The 22,799-nt window shown below is 53.2% G+C and overlaps 1 protein-coding gene across 6 annotated transcripts, besides 13 other annotated features; it reads left to right on the top strand.

The window, feature by feature from the left end:
* Nucleotides 29-408: a silencer, noted in NCBI's record as "silent region_17057". NCBI's record gives its function as "represses an Ori minimal core promoter by ATAC-STARR-seq in GM12878 lymphoblastoid cells {active_cell/tissue: GM12878}" and the evidence as "EXISTENCE:reporter gene assay evidence [ECO:0000049][PMID:35858748]".
* LEMD2 (LEM domain nuclear envelope protein 2) lies at nucleotides 64-17,981 on the top strand. 6 transcript variants are annotated; one of them, NM_001348710.2, is made up of 9 exons: nucleotides 64-419; nucleotides 2,425-2,460; nucleotides 4,767-4,842; nucleotides 8,041-8,117; nucleotides 9,015-9,094; nucleotides 10,807-10,952; nucleotides 11,955-12,056; nucleotides 12,138-12,240; nucleotides 16,416-17,981. In NM_001348710.2, the coding sequence occupies exons 1-9, from the start codon at nucleotides 78-80 to the stop codon at nucleotides 16,564-16,566; spliced, it is 1,113 nt and encodes a 370-aa protein (NP_001335639.1). In that variant the 5' UTR covers nucleotides 64-77; the 3' UTR covers nucleotides 16,567-17,981. The 6 variants fall into 6 exon arrangements, with proteins under 6 accessions (NP_001335639.1, NP_001335638.1, NP_851853.1 ...); NM_001348709.2 differs by having other exon boundaries at nucleotides 2,420-2,460; NM_181336.4 differs by having other exon boundaries at nucleotides 64-813; nucleotides 2,420-2,460.
* Nucleotides 449-898: a silencer, noted in NCBI's record as "silent region_17056". NCBI's record gives its function as "represses an Ori minimal core promoter by ATAC-STARR-seq in GM12878 lymphoblastoid cells {active_cell/tissue: GM12878}" and the evidence as "EXISTENCE:reporter gene assay evidence [ECO:0000049][PMID:35858748]".
* Nucleotides 449-1,100: a biological region, named in NCBI's record as "H3K27ac hESC enhancer GRCh37_chr6:33755871-33756420".
* Nucleotides 551-1,100: an enhancer, noted in NCBI's record as "H3K27ac hESC enhancer chr6:33755871-33756420 (GRCh37/hg19 assembly coordinates)". NCBI's record gives its function as "activates a minimal SCP1, AML or CMV promoter by ChIP-STARR-seq in primed H9 embryonic stem cells {active_cell/tissue: H9 hESC(primed)}" and the evidence as "EXISTENCE:reporter gene assay evidence [ECO:0000049][PMID:30033119]".
* Nucleotides 5,836-6,774: an enhancer, noted in NCBI's record as "H3K27ac-H3K4me1 hESC enhancer chr6:33750197-33751135 (GRCh37/hg19 assembly coordinates)". NCBI's record gives its function as "activates a minimal SCP1, AML or CMV promoter by ChIP-STARR-seq in primed H9 embryonic stem cells {active_cell/tissue: H9 hESC(primed)}" and the evidence as "EXISTENCE:reporter gene assay evidence [ECO:0000049][PMID:30033119]".
* Nucleotides 7,715-8,654: an enhancer, noted in NCBI's record as "OCT4-NANOG-H3K27ac-H3K4me1 hESC enhancer chr6:33748317-33749256 (GRCh37/hg19 assembly coordinates)". NCBI's record gives its function as "activates a minimal SCP1, AML or CMV promoter by ChIP-STARR-seq in primed H9 embryonic stem cells {active_cell/tissue: H9 hESC(primed)}" and the evidence as "EXISTENCE:reporter gene assay evidence [ECO:0000049][PMID:30033119]".
* Nucleotides 8,655-9,595: an enhancer, noted in NCBI's record as "H3K27ac-H3K4me1 hESC enhancer chr6:33747376-33748316 (GRCh37/hg19 assembly coordinates)". NCBI's record gives its function as "activates a minimal SCP1, AML or CMV promoter by ChIP-STARR-seq in naive H9 embryonic stem cells {active_cell/tissue: H9 hESC(naive)}" and the evidence as "EXISTENCE:reporter gene assay evidence [ECO:0000049][PMID:30033119]".
* Nucleotides 15,651-16,349: an enhancer, noted in NCBI's record as "H3K4me1 hESC enhancer chr6:33740622-33741320 (GRCh37/hg19 assembly coordinates)". NCBI's record gives its function as "activates a minimal SCP1, AML or CMV promoter by ChIP-STARR-seq in primed H9 embryonic stem cells {active_cell/tissue: H9 hESC(primed)}" and the evidence as "EXISTENCE:reporter gene assay evidence [ECO:0000049][PMID:30033119]".
* Nucleotides 17,467-17,536: a silencer, noted in NCBI's record as "silent region_17055". NCBI's record gives its function as "represses an Ori minimal core promoter by ATAC-STARR-seq in GM12878 lymphoblastoid cells {active_cell/tissue: GM12878}" and the evidence as "EXISTENCE:reporter gene assay evidence [ECO:0000049][PMID:35858748]".
* Nucleotides 17,557-17,606: a silencer, noted in NCBI's record as "silent region_17054". NCBI's record gives its function as "represses an Ori minimal core promoter by ATAC-STARR-seq in GM12878 lymphoblastoid cells {active_cell/tissue: GM12878}" and the evidence as "EXISTENCE:reporter gene assay evidence [ECO:0000049][PMID:35858748]".
* Nucleotides 18,748-19,042: a silencer, noted in NCBI's record as "tiled region #8162; K562 Repressive non-DNase unmatched - State 20:ReprD". NCBI's record gives its function as "represses a minimal TATA promoter and a strong SV40 promoter by Sharpr-MPRA in K562 cells {active_cell/tissue: K562}" and the evidence as "EXISTENCE:reporter gene assay evidence [ECO:0000049][PMID:27701403]".
* Nucleotides 18,748-19,418: a biological region, named in NCBI's record as "Sharpr-MPRA regulatory region 8162".
* Nucleotides 18,884-19,418: an enhancer, noted in NCBI's record as "H3K27ac-H3K4me1 hESC enhancer chr6:33737553-33738087 (GRCh37/hg19 assembly coordinates)". NCBI's record gives its function as "activates a minimal SCP1, AML or CMV promoter by ChIP-STARR-seq in primed H9 embryonic stem cells {active_cell/tissue: H9 hESC(primed)}" and the evidence as "EXISTENCE:reporter gene assay evidence [ECO:0000049][PMID:30033119]".

The following is a 22,799-nucleotide window of genomic DNA, read 5'->3' as shown; positions in this document are numbered from 1 at the left end:
GCTCCGCCGCGCCTGCGGGAGGGAGCAGTTCCGGGTGCGGTGCGCGCCAGGGGCGGGCGGGGGGCGGCGTCCTGGCCATGGCCGGCCTGTCGGACCTGGAACTGCGGCGGGAGCTGCAGGCCCTGGGCTTCCAGCCAGGACCCATCACCGACACCACCCGGGATGTCTACCGCAACAAGCTGCGCCGCCTGCGGGGCGAGGCCCGGCTGCGCGACGAGGAGCGGCTGCGGGAGGAGGCCCGGCCGCGGGGCGAGGAGCGGTTACGGGAAGAGGCCCGGTTACGCGAGGATGCGCCGCTGCGCGCCCGGCCCGCCGCGGCCTCTCCGCGGGCGGAGCCCTGGCTCTCCCAGCCGGCCTCGGGCTCGGCCTACGCGACCCCTGGGGCCTACGGTGATATCCGGCCCTCCGCGGCTTCCTGGGTAGGGAGCCGCGGCCTCGCCTATCCTGCCCGCCCGGCGCAACTCAGGCGCCGCGCCTCGGTCCGGGGCAGCTCCGAGGAGGACGAGGACGCCCGGACGCCCGACAGGGCCACGCAGGGCCCGGGTCTCGCGGCCCGCCGCTGGTGGGCAGCGTCTCCCGCCCCGGCGCGGCTGCCTTCCTCCCTCCTCGGTCCCGACCCGCGCCCGGGCCTGCGGGCGACTCGAGCGGGCCCTGCTGGCGCGGCGAGGGCCCGGCCTGAGGTGGGGCGCCGGCTGGAGCGCTGGCTCTCTCGGCTTCTGCTCTGGGCCAGCCTAGGGCTACTGCTCGTCTTCCTGGGCATCCTTTGGGTGAAGATGGGCAAGCCCTCAGCGCCGCAGGAGGCGGAGGACAACAGTACGTCCTGGGCCGGCGCAGGGGAGGGCCCTGGGCGCGCGTGTGTCCGCCGGAGGACCCCCCGTTCCTGTCGGCGCCAGGCCGCGCACTTCCGGCCTTGTCAGCTGCCTCTGACTGTCTTCTCATTTCCAGGCCTGCCTTCTTCCAGCTGTGGGAAGAGAGGGCCAAGGCTCCTGCATCTGCAATAATTTCTGCCTTCACTTTCTCCTGTTCTCCTTTTCTGCCCCAGCCCTCCCTTCTAACGTCTCCCTTTCAATCACAAGCTGTAGTCACTGCTCCTCCAACCTCTGGTTTTCTCCCTGGAGAGGAAGCCACACCCCCCTCTAACAGATTCACCCCATCCGTTTGGGTTCTTCCCTTTTGACCTCTGGCTTACACATTTAGTGCCTGTTTGAAGGCACTCCAGATTTCAGTGGCCCACAGATAGGATCTGGTTGGGGGTCCCACCTTTGTAGCACCAAAAAGTCCACTCTCCACTTCTTTGAATCACAGGGCCGCCGCTTTGTCAACAGGAGAATCTACCAGCCTTGCTTGCCAGACAGGTTAAACTGATCGCAACTGGAGGCCCTTATCATTGCTTGTAGCACCCTCATGGAGTGTGTTAAGAGAGAGACTACGACTCAAGGATGCTCACAGCCATCCTTCTGGCCACATTTAAGTTACATGGTTAGATATGCCAATGAGAGGTCTGCAGGATACAGTATGTATCCGGAATAGCTGAGGATTGTGTGTTTTCTGAAAGGAAACATAGAGATCATTTCATTATACATTTAGGTATAAAGGGCCACTGTAGTTCACCAACTTTTAATACTCTTTACAAAGCACGAATGTGACTAATACTGTTCCCAGCTTCCAGCCAAGGCCACATCCTTTCATGCCTAGCAGGAACTGCCAAAATACAGGAAAAAGCTAAAGTATGTCTTAGCTGGTGTGGCAGATGGATGTTTGGGAGTGTACAAGTCTGTGGGCAAGGGTATTAACAGACTCGTGTGCAAACACCCAAATGATTTCCCCACTATGAGAGCATTTATCAACTATGTGAATAGTTTGTCGACCTGCTAGAGAAATTAAGGAGACCTGGGAGTGTCATGGTACTATAACTACACTGGTGATGTCAAACAGTATCACACTGGTACTCACTGCTGAGATGCTTTAAGACAACAGCGCTAGAATGTATGCTGGTATTTACCTGGACTTCCCCTCCCATTACGGTGTTAATCTCTGTTTAACATATCATTGTTTACAAAACTCCTATATTTTGTTTTGTTTGGGCCTAACTCCCTGAGTTAAGCAGGGAAGGCCCATTTGATCCCGTTTTACAGACGAGGAGACAGAGGTTCAGAGTGGTTGAGTTGCCCAAGAAACTTGAGCTAATCATTTTCAGCTGGGACAAGGACCCAGCTATCGTAATTCCTAATCCAGGATTTGGATACCCTTACATTTTGCTGTCTGCATTTTAAAAGTGCCTTCCTTAGATGACATCTTTCTAATCCCCACCCTTGGCTTGGTAATGCTTTACTCCCTCCAAATGTTGTGAGTAGTCTCTTTTTGTATTCCTTTCTCAACCCACACTTAATTTCCTCTGTGTTTCTTTTCTTGGTCTCAGTGAAGTTATTGCCAGTGGACTGTGAGAGAAAAACAGATGAGGTGAGTTTGAGTTTCTCTGGTTTTTATTATTCTTCCTGAGGATATTAGCCTCCATCAGGAGGTAAACTTCCCCAGAAAAAGAATAGGATCATTTTCAGGGAGTGCTTCCTGTAATGTACCAGAGTCACATTGTGTTCTGTGATGTTCTTGTCAGGCTCAATTGTGGCAGTGAAGGAATACTTGAAATAGAATTGACCTCCCAAAATCCAACCCTGGGCTTGTTATGGACACTTTCCCATCAAATGTAGCATCGGGGACTTTGATCTGCCTGAGTCAATCTAGGGGGATGCAGTAGGTTGTTGTTGAAGGACCCTCAAGCTCCCTGGCACTGGGAGGAAGGGCCGGCGTTTCTAAGCATCAGGAGGCCAAGTTCTCAATTCCACATTCTCTGTCTCCAGTGGTGCAGCTGTGGCTCTGAAAATGCTGTTCTGATTTGAAACATAGGGAGTTTGTTTGGAACACATCTTAAGTGGAATTAGCCCTCTTAGTCTACATTTAGATTTGTTTTATGAAGCTCTAATATGGCGAGCAGCCCCATCCATTTATGAATCATGAAAGCAGCATTATCAAGGAGCTGGGATGCTGCTTCTGGTGACAGTCTGGAGAAGATATGGGGCAGTAAATTTTCAGGTCTTAAATTGTACCAGGAGGAGTCTTGTGCTGCCAGAGGGCATGACTTAGTAGTCTAATTAAGTGTGCAATGCCTGGCCTCCCAAGTCCTTAGTTAACATCTCTAGTAGCCCAGGGGCTGGGAAAGAAAATGACGCATGGTCCTCTGGCCAGCCCTGCATTGACTGTCTTACTCATGTAAATGAGGGGGCATCCTGGTGCAGATAACGGCTTTTATTTCTCTTTGGCTTCGGGTGTGTCATAGTTGGGGGTGTTTTATTACATCCATTTATTGGATTCATCCACCAAATATCTTTGCTTCCCAATTGTTTTGTAAAAACAGATTCATAGTAAGTTTAATCTGCCTTCTATCATAAAAACTGTAGTTGATGATGAGAGGAAGTGGCCCAGAAACACAGGCAGCCAGAGGGGAAACTGGAATTTGAAGACTTAAAACAAAAACAGGAAAAAATAACTTTCTGTAAGACTTCTCAGTGCTGTTAGTTTTGTCTTTTAATTAGAAAAAAGTTCCATGGTTTCTATTTCTTGGTCCTTCACATCTCTAAATGAATCAGACCCACAAGTGAATGGCACATTTGTTCCCTGGCCTTCTCTGATCTGGACACACTCAGGCTCCACTTGAGTGAGCCCAGACAGGTACCCTCCAGGTCCTAGCTACAGATGCGCTCCGTGGGCAGACGGCATTCAGCACCTGCCAGCGAGGGCTTCAGACGCAGATATCCCTATTTGTAACCATTCAGACCTTCATCAGAGCATCAGAAAGCAGGGGCTGGGCCATCTCAATGCAGGCTTTGTGGAGCTAAGATTTCATGGGGCACCCTTGGCCTTTCTGGAGGGTGGACACAGGAACAAGCAGGTGGGGACGTGTTTCTTGGCTTTGGTGAGGCTCTTGCTGAAAGTCTTATTCTTTGCATGGCTCCAGGCTTACCGAGATCACAGACGGGCATTTGAATTTCAGATTCATGTTCTTTCCCTTTTCGGTCGTTGAAGACGGTGACACTTTGTGTTTTTCTTTCTGCCTTTGTGCTGCTGAAAACGTGGGGACAGGCTGGGAGTGGGTGTGTTGTCTTAATCAGGCCGTCTCGTTGTCTGGTACCGTCTGTCCTCCTGTTTCCTTTAGGTGGTAGCAGCCTCTGCTGAGTGGTTTGTGTGAGTTCGCACTGAATCCTACCACAATCCTTACTCAGATGAGGGCTCTGAGATTCCACCTAACGGGAGACGAGATGGCAGCTGCTGACATTCTGCCCTGTCTGCAAGCTCTCCTAGCTCTTCCAGCTCTCCCATCTCTGCAAACTCCGACAGCAGTTGCTCTTCCTCTGAGGAAGCTGAGCGACTGCATCATCCCCCGACCACGTCGCCTCTGCTCAGCCCTCTTAATGGCCGTCATTCCAAGGGAAAGGCAGGAGCCAGGAGCCTCTGGGATGCAGCCCCTTGGTTACAGTGTCTGCTTTCAGCTTTGCCTCTGCTTCTCCAGGGTCTTTCTCAGGCAGTTAACCCAATATTTATCAACTCTCTCCCTAGGCCCAGCACTTGGCAGAATTTTTTTCTATTTTGTAAAAGTATGAGATATTCCTTGCTGTTTAGTATTTGACAGTGTGGCTGGAGAAGTAAAGATGGACAGACGGACCCCTCCCACCCACCCCTCCTTGCTGACCACTTGTCCCGTGCCTTTCCAGTTCTGTCAGGCCAAGCAGAAGGCAGCCTTGCTGGAGCTGCTGCATGAACTCTACAATTTCCTGGCCATCCAAGCTGGTGAGTAAGTCACGTAAGTCCTGAGATTCCTCTTGTGAGAGCTATGGGCGGCTGACCCGGTTCATCAGGCTTAGTTACACTGCTGCTGGCCAGCGAGACACTCCCTGGTTGTCTCTCAGAAGGCATATTCAGAAGCCGAGTCTCACCTTCTCGCCTCCTCACTCAGGCACATCTTTTATAAGCCTTGTGTTTGAACAAAACATATTTGATTCTTGCTCCTCTTTAAGGGAGGTCCTGGCATGTGAACAGGCCTTCCTGCAGCTGTTCTTCCTTCTTGGGGATGCCCACTACCTAATGCTTTGGGGGTCTCTGTTGGCATGGGAAGGGGCCAAGCCCCAGGTGTTGTCAGGATCTGTGTCCTTCACCCTAGAGGGACCCTCTGAACCAGGTGGTTGGCTGGGCCCGGGAGAGGCCTCTTGCCTGTGCAAGTAGCAGATAGTCTGTGTAGTGGGCCCTGGTGTCACATCTGGTCCTGATCACCATGTGGCTGTGGGACCTCGGACAAAGTCCCTGATCCTCTCAGGGTCTTCATCTCCCTGTCTGACCAAGGGCTCTTGGGTCTGTCTGTTCTCTACAAATGAGAGTCAAGTGCTGTCCTCTAAAGGAGGGCATTCTCAGCACCTCTGTGAAATGCCCCTGAAAATGCATCCAGAAGATGCATCCCCTACTGTTTTATTTGGTGAAGTTATTCCTTGAGGCCAGAGATACCACCTGCATTATTATGTCCTGCCCGACGCCTGGCATCCAGGAGGCTCTCAAAATCACTTGCAGTTGACATAGGTGAATATCAGCATGTGCGCCTTGTGTTAAATGCGCTGGACACAAGAACCAGACAGAGCAGTTCTATCTTAAGGGATATTCAAGAGGCGCCTCTTACCTGTGGGGTCAGAGGACAGGTCTTAGGATTGTGAGGTCAACCCTTGTCTAAGGTTTCACTGGGAAATTAGGGTCGGGTGGACTTCTCCTGGGCCCTCAGTCCTCAGGGTCAATCTCATGAGCATCAGCTCTTCTGCCTCCTCCCTCTTGAAAGTGAGAGATGAGATGGTAGGGGAGGCATCCATGAGCACTTGGAGGAGAAACAGGTACTGGGGCTCCTGCTCACAGCATCATAGGAATTCCTCTGTACGGCCCAGGTGCTTGGGATGTCAATTCTGACCTAAGAGAGTGTTCCAAACCTTTGTGTCTCAAATGTGGTCCAAGGACCCATAGCATCTGCATCACGTGGGAGCTCACTAGAAATTCAGAATCTCAGGTCTCATGCCAAACCCAGTGAATCAGAGTCTGTATCTTAAGATCCCCAGGGGATTTGAGTGCACCCTAAAGTTGAGAAGCACTGCTCGAAATTGGGTCCTAGTAGATATTTCTCCTCCATCCTACCCTCCATATGTGGTCTTGCCTTATGCCCTCAAGGGCCCTGGCACCTGTTGCCCTCCGACAAGCCTGGGGGGCCGCCTTGAAGGTACATATCTCATTGAGACAGGAGTGTGCCTCACAGAGGCTCCCTAGTAGTCCTCAACCCCTTCCATGCCTCTCCTGTTAGGGATCCGCTGTGGGCTGGGCACTGTGCAGGCCCTTGCAGTGAGATGACTCAGCTCCAGGTCCTGCCTGCAGGGCCCAACCCCGGCTTGGGGTCTACTGGAAGAGACAGGCCACCTACCTCCCTGACCACTGGGTGATATAAAATGTGATTAGACAAGAACCAAGAGGCCAGAAGTTCTGGGAGGCACAATGCCTTTTAGCTGGAGCAGTCAGGAGAGCGTCACAGGAGGTAGCATCTGTGCCAGGCCCTGAAGCCCAGGTAAGACTGGTTACATGTATGTGGGGAAGGACAAGGCAAAGCGGCAGGAAATTACATCTCGAGTGGGAAGCAGCACCTTCATGGAGGAAGGGGAAGATGAGAGAATGAAGTTTGGAAGTGTTGGTTGGGCCCTACCATAGATGGCCTTGGATGCCAGGCCACCAGAGCTTGATCTGGCAGGCAGTGAGGGCCAGAGAGGCTTTGAGCAAGGGAGTATCATGCTGAGAGCCAGGTGCCAGGAAGGTGAATGCGGCAGCAGCTTGAGTAGCACAGTTAAGCAGAATCATTTTCAAGTGTTATTGACAAAACAACTGGATTGGGAAAGGGAGAGGAGGAACCGAATCGAGAGGCCATCTACGTGGTCCAGGCAGGCCTGGCAAGGGCAGGAAGAGTCCTAGTGGGAAAAGGAGGATGCTAGAAGCCACCTGTGTCTCAGGGGACCCCTGGGGTCAAGATCAACTTTGAAGTAGGAGGATCTGGCTGTGTTAGGGGAAGGCGACAGGCTTCAGTTCAGTTTCAAAGTTTTAAAATATGACCTTCAGCTGCTCCCTTCCCCAGCATGCAGAAACACACTCACTGGCCACCCGAAGTCCCCCAGGCTGTGCTGGGTCAGGGCAGTCAGGCCACGCACACGTGTTAAATAGTGTATGCGTGCGTGGCCCTGCACCCTCCCTGCTCTCGGGGAGTCAGGCAAACCACAGCACAGGAGCGAGGACCAAGGGCTATGGCAGGTCACCAAATCTGGGGCCATTTCATCAAACAAAAGGCCCCCAGGGGCTGAGGGCTTCCCAGGGGAGATGGCCCCTGGGCTGGACCGGGGAGGTTGGGCAGGACTAAGTGGGAGGCTGCCAGCTCCATCCTATGGGAGCAGGCCTCCAAAGCCACTCGGGGGAGCTGCCCCTTGGCGTGCTGTGCTGAGGCCCCACTGCCCAGCACACAGACATCCTCTTCCTCCAAGGGGCCCCTCAAGACAATAGACCTGGCATTCCAGGTCGCCTGCCTGTGTCATGAGTCAGAATCCCCGTGGTGCCCATGGCCTCCCTGCCTTTCTTTTTTCTCAGGCTGTGTTTATTTATAGTGCCATTCCGGTACCTTCCGAAGCTATCTGTCTGATTCTTTTAGGGATCAATTGCAAAGAGACCTTGCTATTGGGCAGCTTTTTAGTCATTTAATGCAAAATGCCACACTGCTTTGCAGGTCAGGTTTTAATGATCTGGAATCGATCCAAGCTAAGTGGCTTTTGATCTTGCTGCAGAGTGAAGATGCCCCACAGAAGCCAGGAGCCGCTGGGCAACATGCTCCTTATTAGAGCTGATGGCTTGATTCTTGCTGCATTTTTTAGTCTGTTTCAGAGTGATTTTTCCTTTGTGTTTGAGCATGTGTGGTTTTTTTTCTCCTAGGTAATTTTGAGTGTGGAAATCCAGAGAATCTAAAAAGCAAATGCATTCCTGTTATGGAAGCCCAAGAATATATAGCCGTAAGTAGGCTTCAGTGCTTATACATTCCTGGGAGGGCCTGGTGCTTTCCTATTGGTCTTTCAAGCCCTGTTGGGGTTTTTGTTTTTTGTTTGCTTTGTGGCTTTTGTACTAGGCTACCTTAAGTTAAGGTTTGGTTTATGGCTTTTTGTGCTAGACTACCTTCAGTTAAGGCAGCCATGGTAGTGACTGCCCCAGAGCCAGGCCGCCATGTGCAGTGGGGCGGCTCACTCCTGACTGCTGCACTGTAGGTGTGCCTGTTACCTGCTTCTCCCTTGGTTCACTTTGCTCGTCTTGCCTTCGGCTTTCAGGAGAAACATGCTGTCCCTTCTCCCCCGTATGATTACCATTCAGACTGCCCAGGGGCCGTCTGATTTCCTGTGTGGCCTCAGGATGGTAGATTATAGAACTATGGAGCTGGTATTCCAGGTCGCCTGCCTGTCCAGTAACTTAGGGGTCATCTGGTTCCATTTGCATTTCACAGATGAAGAAACTGAGGCCTGGAGAGGGTCAGGGACTTGCCTGAGGCCAGACCACTTGCACCGGCCACTGGGCTCACCCACCCCCAGCCACAACGCTGTTATTCGCTTTACCCTAAGATGAGCTGCCAGCTCTCTGGCCTGATGCTTCCATCCTCGAGAGAATCATATTCTTTTGGCCGCCTCAGACCCGCACTGTTTTCCTGCTTGTGCTTCCGCATCACCTCCTCTGGTTATAGCCTCTTCCTTGGCTTTCATCAACCCCCGATTTCCTTCCTGCCACTTTGCTGTGCTTTTAGCAGAACAGGGTTTTGGGGCTGTGGAGGACACGGGAGAGGGCTTCCTTAATCCAGCAGCAGAATAATGTTCCAGCTGCTCCGCCCAGACGCCGAACTAACCTTCTCCCGCGCCCTCCCACAGAATGTGACCAGCAGCTCCTCCGCCAAGTTTGAAGCCGCACTGACCTGGATACTGAGCAGTAACAAGGACGTGGGCATCTGGTGAGTGTGGGCAGGGTGGCGACGCAGCATGGGTGCCTGCAACCACTGTCCTCGCTCGTCAGCTAACACCCGTGCTCCAACAGAGCTGTCTCAGGTCTGAAGCTGGAGGCTGGGTCTCCCAGCAGAATCATGTGGGTTAGGATGGAAGTGGGGCAACAAAAGCAAGAAGCATTTGGAATGCAGTGTAAGGAGCAGCTTCAAGATGAGACACAAAATCCAGGTGTTAGGATGTTAGCCTGGTGTTCCAGCTAAATCCTGTCTCAGGTAACTCAGTCTGTGCCTTTCTCATTCATCAACAACACCACATGGTTTGTTGGGGAAGGCATTTTTCTGCACTTCCCCTCCTCGGGAGCTAGTTTTTATTTGTAGATGAAATTATTCTTTCTGTATGTTGGTTTTACTTACTATGGAAATCGCATAAGGAAATACTGGATTTTATTCTGACCAGGCAGTTTCTGCCTCATTTTTATCACTGGTGAGCACTGTTAGAAAAGGTAGCAAACCCTTTCATGAGGCTGAAAGGCTGTATCTGGCGGCTCAGCCCAGGGGGAGGGGCGTGTCAGCCAACAGCCAGGCAGCCTTGAGAGACCTGTCCCCTGCTGGCAGAGCAGCATCACTTCCCCACTTCCCACTCTCGGTGTTTGTGGGGGTCTCTGTTCAGGTTATAGCTCTTGATATTAAAACGTCTCTAGAGTTTTGTTCTTTTCCTCTCTAATCCACCCAAATTACTAATTCCATCAGCACTGCATCCAGCAGAAGCCCCTCGGGCAGCTCCACCTCAAGCTGGATAACTGGATGCATGGCACGATTAAAATTTGTTGGCTTAAAAAAAAAAAAAAGCTGCCCTGAGTAGCTGAGCAATTTTCCTGTGTTAGAAAAGGCGGAGGAGAATACGGATTTTATCCTCAGCAGCAGCGCTCACTGAAGCTGCTAACACAGAAGAATGATGACACTCACCTTTTCATGTTGGGGAAGGCAGCCTGGAGGGTGGCAGAGCCGCTCAGGATGACCATATTGAAAGTGGGTCCTGAGAAATCAGGACACTTGGGATGCCAGCCATTCCAGCATGCAGCCTCAAGAGCATGATATTCTCGCCCTGGGTCACCTAGCTGGAAGAAGGCTCTGGTGTCCCCACCTCTGCAGGTCCTGACACCTCCTGGCCAGAGACCATGGTGGAGGCGCCGTGGCTGGGGTCTGGCCTCGGAGAGCCTGGTGGTTTTCATTCCCCATGAGCCTCACGGATTCCCCATGAGCCTCATGGATGCCCCATGATCTTTACACTTAAACAGCTTATGTGCCTCCTTGTCACCGAGGAAAAGTGCAACCTCCCAGATTCTGTCTTTCAGTTCTTGCCATGCAATTGCAAAGCTAGTGATTCAGTAAACATTTCCATTTCTCTATGCTGGGAGGTGGGAATCCAATTTACAGTTTAATCTCCTGCATGCTGAGAGAGGCTGTCAAAGACCTGACAGGGGGACGTTGCTTTAGCGGTAGGGGTTCAAGCCTGCTGCCGTCTTTAAAGCTTTATTCATTCTAAGTAGCCAATGTGGGAAATTTCTGGAAAGAATGCAGCCAGGATACCAAGCCTATTCTATAAGCAAGTAGAGGCCTTGCGTCCCCACTTTCCTTCGCTTCCTCCTGTTTGAAGTGGGGCTTGCACTGCCTCTCCTTGGAGCTTTCCAACATGTTCAGAGCCCTGTGTCCTGTTTCAGGTTGAAAGGAGAAGACCAGTCTGAATTGGTGACGACTGTGGACAAGGTGGTCTGCCTGGAATCTGCCCACCCCCGCATGGGTGTTGGCTGCCGCCTGAGCCGGGCCTTGCTCACTGCTGTCACCAACGTGCTCATCTTCTTCTGGTGTAAGTCCTCGGCCGCCTTCCCTCCCCTTCTGTGCAGTCAAGCATACTCCTAGGCATGAATGATGAGCTATAGAAATTCCAGGCCCGGAGGGTTCATTTCTGTCTAGTGAACCTGAGGTCTGTCTCATAAAACAGAGGAGATGAACAAGTCAGCCTCTGCCCTGGGTTGTATTTACCTTTGGAGATTGGTGGCAGGAATCCGTGAGGATAACTAGAAAATGTCCTTGATTCAGGGCAGGGGACTGTCAGATTTCCTGAGCGGGAGCCTGGCCTGAGCAGGAGCTGGGCCCCACCCCTTCTGGGCTCTGCAGGGATCCCAGTGTGGACCAGCTTCGAGCAGGAGGCACAGCAGGGGCTTGGCCTACTTTTACTCCCTGAAAAATATAAACATCTCCTGGAGAGCTACAGATACCTGATGAAAGCAAGAAGGACTCAGGGTGCTGCACTGAAAGGAGGGCACCAGTCTTATCCCCTGACATCGGGGGCCGCCTTTGAGCAGAGACCTCAGGGCGTCTCTGAAGGCGAAAGGCCAAGTCACAGAAACCACGGCTTTCCAGAGATAGTTGGAGCTACAAATCACAGACCGCCTCAGTGTGCACACAGCTCCCTCCCCTGTGCCATCAGGCACAGAAATCATTATCGGCAGCAGCATCTCGGAATACAAAGGGCCCCGGCATGTATATATGTATGAAACACTGTGTTCTGGTTCACAAGGGAGGAGATGAAAGCCCCAGAATGAGGTTGGGAGGAGCCGAGATCTGGACGGCTGGGGATGCCGCTGTGGTGACAGCCGGTGGGAGGAAGATGATCACTTAATAATCTGTCGTCCCTCTGCATTTCTGTATCTTTTGTTTCTCGCATGCTGGCCCTGAGCCTGACACATAGTAGGTACCCAAACCCATGTGGTGGATCCCCCACAGCATCCATCACAGCATCTTGTCCATGGTGAGACCCACTGCCAAATGAAGTGTGAGGGATTAACAGTGTTTTGTTCCCTCACAGGCTTGGCTTTTTTGTGGGGGCTCCTAATTCTCCTAAAATATCGGTGGCGAAAGTTAGAAGAGGAGGAACAAGCCATGTATGAGATGGTGAAGAAGATTATAGGTGCGTGGCCCCCTGGTGAATAAAGGGTTGCCGACGCCAGCCAGAGGGTCCTTGCCCTAAATGGTGTGCTCTCTCCTGCAGACGTGGTCCAGGACCATTACGTGGACTGGGAGCAGGACATGGAGCGCTATCCATATGTAGGCATCCTGCACGTGCGCGACAGCTTGATCCCTCCACAGAGCCGGTGAGTCCCTGGCTGGGGCGCTGGGTGTGAGGTAAGATGGGGTCCGACCCCACTGAGCTCCCCAGAAGGAAACCCAGAGCCTTGCATCAGATGTCAGCTGAGGGCAGTGCAGACCCCAGGGCCAAGAGTGGCTCTGCTCCCACTCCTGCTGCTCCCCAGCATGCTCGGCTCTTTATGGCAGGATGAGCTAGAAAAGACATATGAAAGCACAATCCCACACCTCTGTAGAGAGAACACTGGCAGTGGTGATACCAGTTAGGAGGCCTTGGGCTCCAAGTAATAGCAGCTCCCTCCCCCAGGGCACAAGTAGTGAAGGATCTCCTCAGTCTCTGTAAGTGGAAGTTCAGAGCTGCATGGGCTCCAGGCACAGAACAGTCAGGTCTCCGGTTCCATTGCTCTTGTGATTCTCGTGGTCCCACACTCCTCCATGGATGTTATCAACAGACTGGGGTCCCTCATGGTTGCAGATGGTGGCCAACAGCAGCTGGGGCACTGTCTGCCTTGTCACAGCCAGCAGGGGAAAAGTAGGCCTATTGTTGTCTTATAAGCAAGAGAACATGTTCCCAGTAGCCTCCAGTGACACACTCCTTGAGGCTTTATTGACCAGAATCTCTTACATGTCTGTTTATGAATCAGTCACTGGCAAGGAGGAGGAAATTGTTTTTCAAACTTTTTAAACCATGACCTGCAGTCAAAAACACCTGTTACCTGCAACATCATGGTCCAGTTCCCACACACGCATGCGTACACTCATGCATATACATGTAATTGAAAGCAAAGTTTCACAACATGAATGGGGTCAGCTTCCAGGGCACATAGCTTCATGGGAAGGGGTGGCAGGGCCACTGTCATGTGCAGCTGCAGGGCACCTTCCACATGGGCTGTGACTGCTGGAGTTGTACACTGGGGTCCTGACAGAACCAGGGTGGGGGAGGGCAGAGTCCCAGGAGACAGCCAGCAGGGCCCCCCCCAGTGTTGGCTCTGGTTGTGGTCCCTCCCTAGCAGACACTTGCTGTGGTTTCTGGCCAGATGCTGTCATCTGCTGGGTGATGCTGAGAGCTCACCCTTGCTGAGTGCTCCCTGGGAGCCGGGCACTACTTGGAGCTCTCCACAGATGCAAACTCACTCACTTGGTCCTCACCATGGTTCACGCACACAACAGAAGTGGCCCCATTTTACCTATAAGGGAACTGAGGCACAGGGAAGTAGAGGAATGTGCTCAAGAGTCCCATGGCTAGTGGCATTTCCGTGCTCCCGCCACCAGGCTCTACTGTCAACATCATCCCTATCTGCAACCCAAGAGGAATCAGAAAAATAGAGCCGTTAGCAGTCCACTTTAAGTCAGGCACAGTGGCTCACACCTGTAATCCCAGCATTTTGGGAGGCCAAAGTGGGAGGATTGCTTGAGCCCATGAGTTCAAGACCAGCCTGGACAACATAGCAAAACCCCATCTCTACAAAAAATAGATATTAGTGGGCATGGTGACACATGCCTGTAGTCCCAGCTACTCAGGAGGCTGAGGCAGGAGGATCACTCGAGCCCAGGAGGTCGAGGCAACAGTGAGCTATAACTATGCCACTGCACATCAGCCTGGACAACAGAGCAAGACCCTATCTCTTAAAAAAATAAAAAAAAGGTCCATCTTAAACATGAAGGTGCTTGTTGCCTGTCATGCTCACCTCACCCCTGGAAAGGTGGCAGGCAGGAAGTTTAGAGTGAGCAGACTCACAGCAGCATGGGCTGTGCTTGCTCTGAGGAGCGCTTGCTGTTGGTTTCAGCGTGAGGCCCTCTACCTCCCAGGGAGGGTGACTTGGGGTACTCAAACTCCCACCCAATTCCTGGCCCTGGCAGGAGTATCGTGACAATGAGCATCTCAGTCAACCTGTGCCACAGTTTCCTTATCCTAAAATGCAGGTGATCCCGCTGCCTTGCACAGGGCTGTGACGAAGAGACTATCATTCATTCATTCATTCATTCATTCAGTTCCTCCACAAATGTTTATTGAGCACCTACTACATGCCAGACACCCTACTGGGTCACAGGGAGACAGCAGGAAGTGGAAGAAACAAAAATCCCTGTCCAGCTGGAGCATTTGTTCTCAGGAAGGAGACAGATGACAAGATGCATAAGGAAAAGATGTGATATTAGGTAGTGACAAGCCCTAAGGGAAGGGGGGTTGGTATCAGGGTGGTGGCCTCAAAGTTCATTAAGTCACTGCCTAGTAGCCAGGCACGGTGGCTCATGCCTGTAATCTCAGTACTTTGGGAGGCCAAGGTGGGTGGGCCACCTCAGGTCAGGAGTTCGAGACCAGCCTGGGCAACATAGTGAAACCCCATCTTTACTAAAAATACAAAAATTAGCCGGGCATGGTGGCATGCACCTGTAATCCCAGCTACTCAGGAGGCTGAGGCATGAGAATCACTTGAACCCAAGAGGTGGAGGTTGCAGTAAGCCGAGATCATGCCATTGCACACCAGCCCGGGTGACAGAGCGAGACCCTGTCTCAAAAAAAAAAAAAAAAATGGGAGACCAAGGCGGGCAGATCACAAGGTCAGGAGTTTGAGACCAGCCTGGCCAATGTGGTGAAACCCCGTCTCTACTAAAAATACAAAAATTAGCCGGGCATGGTGGCAGTCACCTGTAGTCCCAGCTACTCGGGAGGCTGAGTCAGGAGAATCACTTGAACCCGGGAGGCGGAAGTTGCAGTGAGCTGAGATCACACCACTGCACTCCAGCCTGGGTGACACAGTGAGACTCCATCTCAAAAAAAAAAAAAAAAAAAAAGTCAGTGCCTAGCACGTGGGCATCATCCAAGGGTAGCCATTATGCCTTGGGCTTAAATGATATTCCACACACATATTTGCTTAAATAAGAGCATGAGACGGCACTGCAGCTTGCCTGCAGCCGGAGCTACCACCCAAGCCTTCGTGCATTAGCATAGATACCCAGAGCTGCTGCCACTCAGGTAGCCGGCCCTCAGGGTCAGAGCCATGTGAACCCCAGACGCCCATGCTCTGTTTGCTCTCTTGACTTACCTCCCAAGCCACCCAGTCAGTCCAGGCCAAGCTCCCCACGTCAGGAGACATTGGCTAGCCAGTCAGGTCTGCCCTGTAGATGAGGGCCTGCTTGGGAAAGACTGAGGGAGATGAGAAGAACTGGCCTGGGAAGGAGGGGCTGGAGTGAGACACTGCCCACTCAACACTGGCCGCTTCCTGCTCAGGGACCCAGCACCTTGGAGCTCAGTCCCCAGGGAATGTGTGGCCTCGGCCAGACCAGCCAAGTTGGGGCTGCTGAATAGGCCCATGGGGTTTGGTTGGTGACAGGTCCTGACCCCTGGGGAAGCCCTAGCCCCCCCCCCGCCTCCTGACTCACTGGCCACCTCCGTTTGTCCTCCCCTTCTGCTCCCATGCGTACACACTCACAGTCACTGTCTTTCCACGTGTGGTGTCATGGGGAGGTGGGCTGCAGTGATGAGAAAAGGCTGGGGGCTGTGCAATACCATGCTTCACAAAGGGAGAAGATCAAAGTGACCCTCCCCCATGGCTTTGGAACCTTCTTGTCCAGTCTGGAAGGGGGGAAGAAGAGATGAGGGGAAGGCTGTCCAGGGGGGTGCAAGGCCCTAGAGACCCAGCAGAGAAGGGACTCTGGCCACTGAAGGGGCCCTCCGTTGTGGCTCTGGTTCCCTAGAGCAGCTCCAGCTTCTTGGCCTCCCCCGTCTGATGCTTAGCTCATCCCATCCCCTGGAGTGCTGTGGAGCTTAGATGAAACAGCCCAGTGCTCACTCTTCAATGAGCCCACCCAGAGCAGCATCAAGATGCAGTTGGCGGGGTACTGGAACTGGCTTGGCAAGGGCTGCGCAGGCAACAGGTCCCAGCAAGAGTCAGCTAGCCTAGCACAGCCCTGCACACCTGGAGACCTGGGGGTGCTCCAGACACCTCGGCCCTTTAGCTCCCTTTAATTGAATGTGTTTGGATCAGTGAAGGTTGAGGAATCATTTCTCTATGGCCCAAGACGTTTTTCTCCTCTGCAGTTGTCATGTTAGTACCTGCCAGCTTTTCCTCTCTTACATAAATTCCATGCCAGAGCCTGGAAATGTGTGCCCTTTGTAGGAGGGGCATCCACAGGCTGGCTCACCTCGGCAGTGCCAGGCAGAGCCCCGTCCCTCTCATTGCAGGAGGCGCATGAAGCGTGTCTGGGACCGAGCTGTGGAGTTCCTGGCCTCCAACGAATCCCGGATCCAGACGGAGTCCCACCGCGTTGCAGGAGAGGACATGCTGGTGTGGAGATGGACTAAGCCCTCTTCCTTCTCTGACTCAGAGCGATAAGCCCCGGGCGGGGACTTGTTCCCGGTCAGCCTGTCCCAGGACAGCCCACTCCAGAGGCACAGGAGGGTCACCAGGCCTGCGGTGCTGAATTCACACTTGCCTTGACTTTCAGTCTCGTCCTGACACGATTCCAAAGGTCTGCCATACTCTTCAGAGGAGTTCGGCTCGCAGGAAAATGTGGGCTTCCTTTAAAGGGAGGGGGAGAAGCCAGGGTGATAGCCCAGACTCTGCCCTGTTGTGCTGGCAGAAACGGGGAGAAGGGTTGAGTTTTCATGAATAGAAAACAAGAGCAGCAGCTGTCAGGCCCAGCTGACAAGCGTGGGGCTGGTGGGCTGGGGCATGGCCACGCCAGGGAGTCTGTCACCTGGGAGGTGGGGCAGGGATGGTGTTTCGGGTGGCGGGATGGGGAGCAGCTTGGTCCATGTGCCTTCAGGGGGTTGTTACTTGAGAGCTCCAGGGTGAAGGGAGAAAGCCTGTGCTCTGGCTGGCTGGGCCTCTATCCTGAAGAGGGAAGGTGCTAGAAATTAGAACAAGTGACTGTAGGGGGGACCGTCTAGAAACACCAGGCCCAGACACACGGTCCCTCAGGTCAGGAGGAGTGAGCAGCCGGCACAGCCTCCTGGGAGGATCCCGAAGTAGGGACTGGGGCTGAGAGCAGAGAGGAGGGTCGGGCAGCCCCAGGGCGGGCGGGCCCGCCTCAGTGTTGCTTCTCACAGAAGCTGCGACTCTAGACCAGGCCTGCAGCCAGAACGCCGATTCCGGGAGCTTGGGAGCCCTGCGTCAGGGCCCAGAGCCTCGCACTTGCTGTGTGCGAAGATCGCCTTGCTTTACTGTGACCACAGCCCCGACGCGGGGCTGTTTAACAAGAACTTCAGCGCAGCCGGCGTTTCTGTTACCCCGGCCGCGGCTCTTGGCGGCGGGAGAGGCGCAGTGGCTGCAGGCTGCCCCCTGCCGGCCACAAGGGAGCAGCGTCCGCGCCGCCGCCCACCGGCCCTCCCGCCAGCTCCTCAGCCTGCTCCCTGGGAGGCAGGCTCCAGAAGCACCCCGACGGGGGGCCTTATTAAGTGCGAGAAGCCTCTCCAGCGAGTCTTCCCCGTGTGTCCTCATCTGCGGCAGGCAGGAGAGGGGGAGCAAACAGGAAATTCCACAGCTGCCTCCAGAAACATTAACCACCCCTCTCTAGTCTTACTGGTATTTTTTGTTTCCTTAATAAAGCTCCAGTCTCCCTCATTTGAGCAATACTCTCATTTCCTCTGATGTCTGGATGATCGGCAGGGCAGGAATCTGAGCGCTGGCCCCGTGGTGAGGCCATGTTCTCATAATCAGGCTCCAGCCAGAAAAATAAGAAACACCGCAACAGGCTTCAGTATCAGGGCTGAAACTGCTGGATGAATAAACTATTTATTAAAAACGGATGTTTCTTGCCCATGGTTCTTTCCCTTCCCCCAAAGCTATGTCTAAGGAATGGCAATGTGTGGACTCCTTAAGCACCAGCTCTGGGAGGTGGCTGGAAGGGAAGGTGGGAGAGACAGCAGGACGTGGGCTCTGCAGTTCCTCCCAGACCTCTGGCCTCTGCCACCCAGTGACCAGTTCTCGAGTAAGCTGCATAACTCTCACAGCCTCAGTTTCCACATTTGTAACGTGTGATGACCCTGTCTTACAGAGTGGCTATGAGGATTGCAGCATGCAGGGTGCCTCCTTGGTCCCAGTGGGTGGCCAGAAGTGGGGGCTAGTGGGGCCTTTTTCCTTTGGCTCCATTTCTGCCTCCCCTCAAGACCCAGAGGTTCCCCTCAGGTGCTCAGCACCAGCCCTGGGAGGAGGAGGAAGAAAGAACAGGGTGAGGTTGGATGGGGCTTCCCAGCAGCTGGTAGCGTCCCTTCATGAGGCCGACTTCTTTGTCTCCTCTGAGGCCCAACCATAGGGAAGCCCACTCATTGCCCACCCATGCGGTCTGGCAGGCACATGAGGGTTCCCTTGCCAGGGCTGCTGAGTGTGCTTCTGGATCTCACTGCTGTCCTTCCTTTTGCAGAGGCCCCAAGGTCAGTCACCCCAAGAAGGCAGCCAGTCCTGCCATGCCCCATGGGGCTTGTGGGCTGTTGTGGTCACCTTTCCCGTTCACAGTGAGCACCAGCCTGTTATCCTCGTCACTAGAGTCACACAGTTGGGTCCATAGTCAAAGGACCTGGAAACGCAACTCGGGAAAAAATGAGCCTGTCTTTCCCTTTTCTGTTCCTCATGAAAGACTTTCCCTCTGCCACGTTTTGTTTTAAGCCGAGAAGGGAGCTAATGCAAGGCTCTATTTCTGTGAAGCTGTTTGGAGAGCAGGAGCGAGATCAAAATAAACTAAATAACAAAAGGCCCCTGCCAGCCCAGCTTCTTCCTTTCTGGAACACAGAGCGCCTTGGCGCAGAGGCCCCGAGGTGTGTCCTCGGCCTCACTCAGGCTGCAGACATTTCAGAGCAGGCTTTCCACCTTCCTCAGCTTCTCAGGGCCAAGTCCCCTTTCAAGCAGCTCTTATTTCACAAGGGACAGTATGGGGCGGTGGGTTTGTCCAAGGGCATCTGTGGGCTGGAGTGATTGCTGAGATCCCAGTTTCTCTGCCCAAATCCCTTCAGAGAGCTCCCTGGGCTGCAGACCTGTCTTTTCTCGGTGACAGACGGCCCTCTCGGGCCACAGTGGACACCGATAAAGAAGCTTCAGGGGCAGGGAAGGGGAGGCTGTACCCCACAAATCTCAGCCATGGACATCCACCAAGGAGCTCCAGGCCACCTTCCGGAGTCTCGACTCAAGAAGATGGTAAACATGGCCATTTGTCACTGACTTATCATAAGAGCTGCGGTAGCAGCTGTTCCCCCTTAATTAATACACCATTGACTTTGAGCCTCAAAAAAAAAAAAAATCCCTTTGCTGAGGCAGGTGTGTGGACTCAAATCCATTATCCTGTCGGTCTCCCCCAAAAGGAAGGCGCGGGAGAGCGGTTATACAGTTAAGTCACCCAACTGTTCCAAAACAGTCCTCCCCGGGCAGCCAGGCCAGCCTCTCCACCCATCCCCAGAGAAAGTTCTAGACACAAGCAGAGAGTCTGAACAGAGGGTCCCATGATGTGCAGGGACACAGAGGCAAGGGATGAGGGCAGGTGGGAGGACCCCGTGGGCACCATGCCACCTGGCGCCCCCATGTTTTCCCAGGAGTGACGCTGCACACGGGTGGGGGTGGAGGCCTAGGGCTCAGCATCCTCAGGACCAGCTCTGGCCTTCAGTGGCTGGGATCTTGGGCAAATCACTTTATCCCTGTATCTAGGTGAGTTACTACACAAGCCTCTGTCTGGCTCATTCACTGCTGTGTCCCCAGCAATCAGAACACTGCCAGGCCCACAGGAGGCACTCAATAAATATTCAAGAAATAGATTAATGGAAACCTCGATCCCAGAAGGAGAAGAACCTGGCAATGAGGTTTTTTTGTTTTGTTTTTGAGACAGACTCGCTCTGTTGCCCAGGCTGGAGTGCAATGGTGCAATCACAGCTCACTGCAGCCTCCGTCACTCAAGCAATCCTCCTACCTCAGCCTCCCGGGTAGCTGGGACCACAGGCACATGCCACCATGCTTGATTAATTTTGTCTTTTTGTAGAGACAGGGTTTTACTACGTTGCCCAGGCTGGTCTCAAACTCCAGGGCTCAAGCAATCCTCCTGCCTTGGCCTCTCCAAGTGCTGGAATTGCAGGCATGAGCCACCGTGCCCAACCTGGCACTGAGTTTCTAACGTCTGGATTCCTCCAGTTTCCTTTCAGGCTGGTTTTGTTTACTCGTGTTTCTTTTTCCAATCTGAGTGACTCTGATCTGCCACAGCCCCAGCCCTCCCACTGCCTTGCAGCACACACCCCGCCCCCTGCAGGCTATCTCTGGGAAGGCAGCCTTGTTCTGACCACAGAGGGGACCAGGCTGGACTGTATGAGATGGGACAAGTCTCCCAGACTAGCCAGACAAATTGGCCAGGAGCAGCTGTGTTTACTTGCATTTCCTTGAGTGGAACAGCCAGGGGAGCCCCGAGGACCTGCCTAGCCCCCAGCACCACATGACAGAAGAAGCCGTGGTGAAGATGGTCTAGAGGCCGGGCACAGAACCACACAAACTCCAGGATTTGTATAAGACGCTGGCCAGGAAGGCCCTCTAAAACATGACTTCTCACCAGCCCTGTGAGTGAGAGCTTGAAGCAGGTTTAACTTGGTTTCTAAAGAAAGTGATGGGATGTTTCTTCCTGCCAAGAGTGTGGCCCAGTTCATCACTGAGGCTCCTCCATGAAGTCAGGGTGATTGTCTCAGCATCGTGAAGGTGTGGTGAGATTCCAGGGACGGATGGCTATATTGCAAACCGTGAAAGCGTTACCCACTAAGGGACCAGGACTGGGCTGCCCTGGCCGGGCAGATAAGTAGGAACAGTCCCGAGTACAGTCTTGGAACAGGGAAAGAGCTGAACAACAACCTCTGAGAAGAAAGGGTAAAGGAGGTATCACTGATGATTACAGCCCAATTTCTAAGCTGCTTCTGTTTAGTAAGGAGACAGAGGAAAGTACAGTAATTTTCTTCAATGAAAACAGGCAACAGAATTCCCTTTGCCTCGTTCCCCTTGCAATTAAGCCCTTCTCTGCAAATGAAATGATTTGGTTTTCATGGGGACTAATTTAAGCACACTGGAAGGACCGCTGAACTTTCTGATTGCAAACACCAACATGTGCAAAACAGAATCCAGCAGCTATGCCAGGCTGGTGAGGCTGTCCCACCCGTGGAGCTGAGGGCTTGGATGGGGTGAGGGTGGATGAGCCCTGGCTGGAAGTCCAGCTCTGTCCCTAAGTCCATGACACTTCCCATGTGGCTGACCCTCTTCCTGTCTCCAGCTGCCATCTCCTCATCCCAAGTGAGAAAGTTGGACTAGATCTCAGCTGACAAACTCAGAAGTCTCTGACATACTTGGCAATGGCGGTGGGTTGAAGATGCCACACGTTCCTTGCCACTCCTTTCATCAAGAAGTGGAGTCTATTTTGTCTCCCCTGAATCTGTGCTGGCCCCATGACTGCACTGACCAGTGGAATGTGGTGAGAAGGACACTGGCCAGCTCCGGTCTGAGGCCTCAGGAGGCCTCGTTGCCTCCCCTTTTGCCCTCTTAGGCCTTGAGTCTCCATAGAAAGAGGTCCAGCTGCCCAGCTGGAGATGCCTTGTGGGGAGAGATGCCTGGCCAGCCCCACCGTTCCAGCATCCCAGCTGACACAACAGATGCGTGAGTGCAGCTACTCTGTACCAGCCCAGATGCACCATGTGAAAAGATAAGCTGTTCCCACCACACACTGCCCAAAGGGTGGAAGCATAAGTAAATAATGGTTGTCTTATGCCACCAAATTCCTATTATTACTTTTTAACTTGAAATAGTTTAAGACTCACAAGATGATGCAAAAATAGTACAGAGAGTTCGTGTGTACCCTTCACCCAGCTTCCCCCAATGATAATATCCCACATAACCACAACATACTATCAAAACAAGGAAACTGACCTTGATACAATCCTATTAACTTAGGTGCAGGCCGTATCTGGGTTTCAACAATTTTGTGTGTGTGTGCGTGCGTGTGTGTGTGTGTGTGTGTGTGTGTGTGAAGTTTTTATGAAATGTTATACCATGAAGCTACTAAGTTTGGGGGTAGACTGTTACTCCCAATAGATAATTAACACAAGAATGGACAAGATCCCCCAGAAACACAACTCAGACAAACTTCAGCACAAGGTGAATGTGCTGGCTCACGTAAACCAATCCACTAGAGGCAGGGTGGCAGGCCTCAGAGAAGCTCCACCCAGGGGCAGGGGAAGTATCAGGTCCTGGGCATGAGCCACATTTTCTAGAGGTCCCTTCTAGAGGACACATATGAGACGAAGGAGGGACCCACTTCCCAACCAATCCCTGGGATGGAGCACCATGGTGGGGCACAGGCGGGGGAGGACCGAGCCCCGTGCCTCCGTTGGGTCAGGGCACAGAACCATGCTTGGCGGCTGGTCAGAATCATAAGGGCACAGGGAAGAGGAGCAACCCTCAAAGGAAGGGATGGGCACTGGGAGCAGAAGAGGAGAGGGGAGATATGCATTGCAGAGCAAAGGAGAGCACCCAGGGCAAACCCTGGGTACGCAGACCCCAGGTGGGAGGGGAAGGACATTCTACACTGGACCCAGAATGAGCATCCAAGAGGTATTGTG

The sequence above is a fragment of the Homo sapiens genome, chromosome 6 (assembly GCF_000001405.40).
Source record: "Homo sapiens chromosome 6, GRCh38.p14 Primary Assembly".
Classification (NCBI taxonomy): Eukaryota; Metazoa; Chordata; class Mammalia; order Primates; family Hominidae; genus Homo; species Homo sapiens.
Note: the sequence above shows the minus strand (reverse complement) of the source record. Positions and strands in the feature narration are given on the sequence as shown.

What these genes read in the sequence shown, in the direction of transcription:
- LEMD2 (NM_181336.4), top strand. Translation starts at nt 78, where the DNA reads ATGGCCGGCCTGTCGGACCTGGAACTGCGGCGGGAGCTGCAGGCCCTG. An exon ending in AAGCCCAAGAATATATAGCC is followed by an intron (nt 8,118 to 9,014) that starts GTAAGTAGGCTT and finishes GCCCTCCCACAG; the next exon opens with AATGTGACCAGCAGCTCCTC. An exon ending in CGTGCTCATCTTCTTCTGGT is followed by an intron (nt 10,953 to 11,954) that starts GTAAGTCCTCGG and finishes GTTCCCTCACAG; the next exon opens with GCTTGGCTTTTTTGTGGGGG.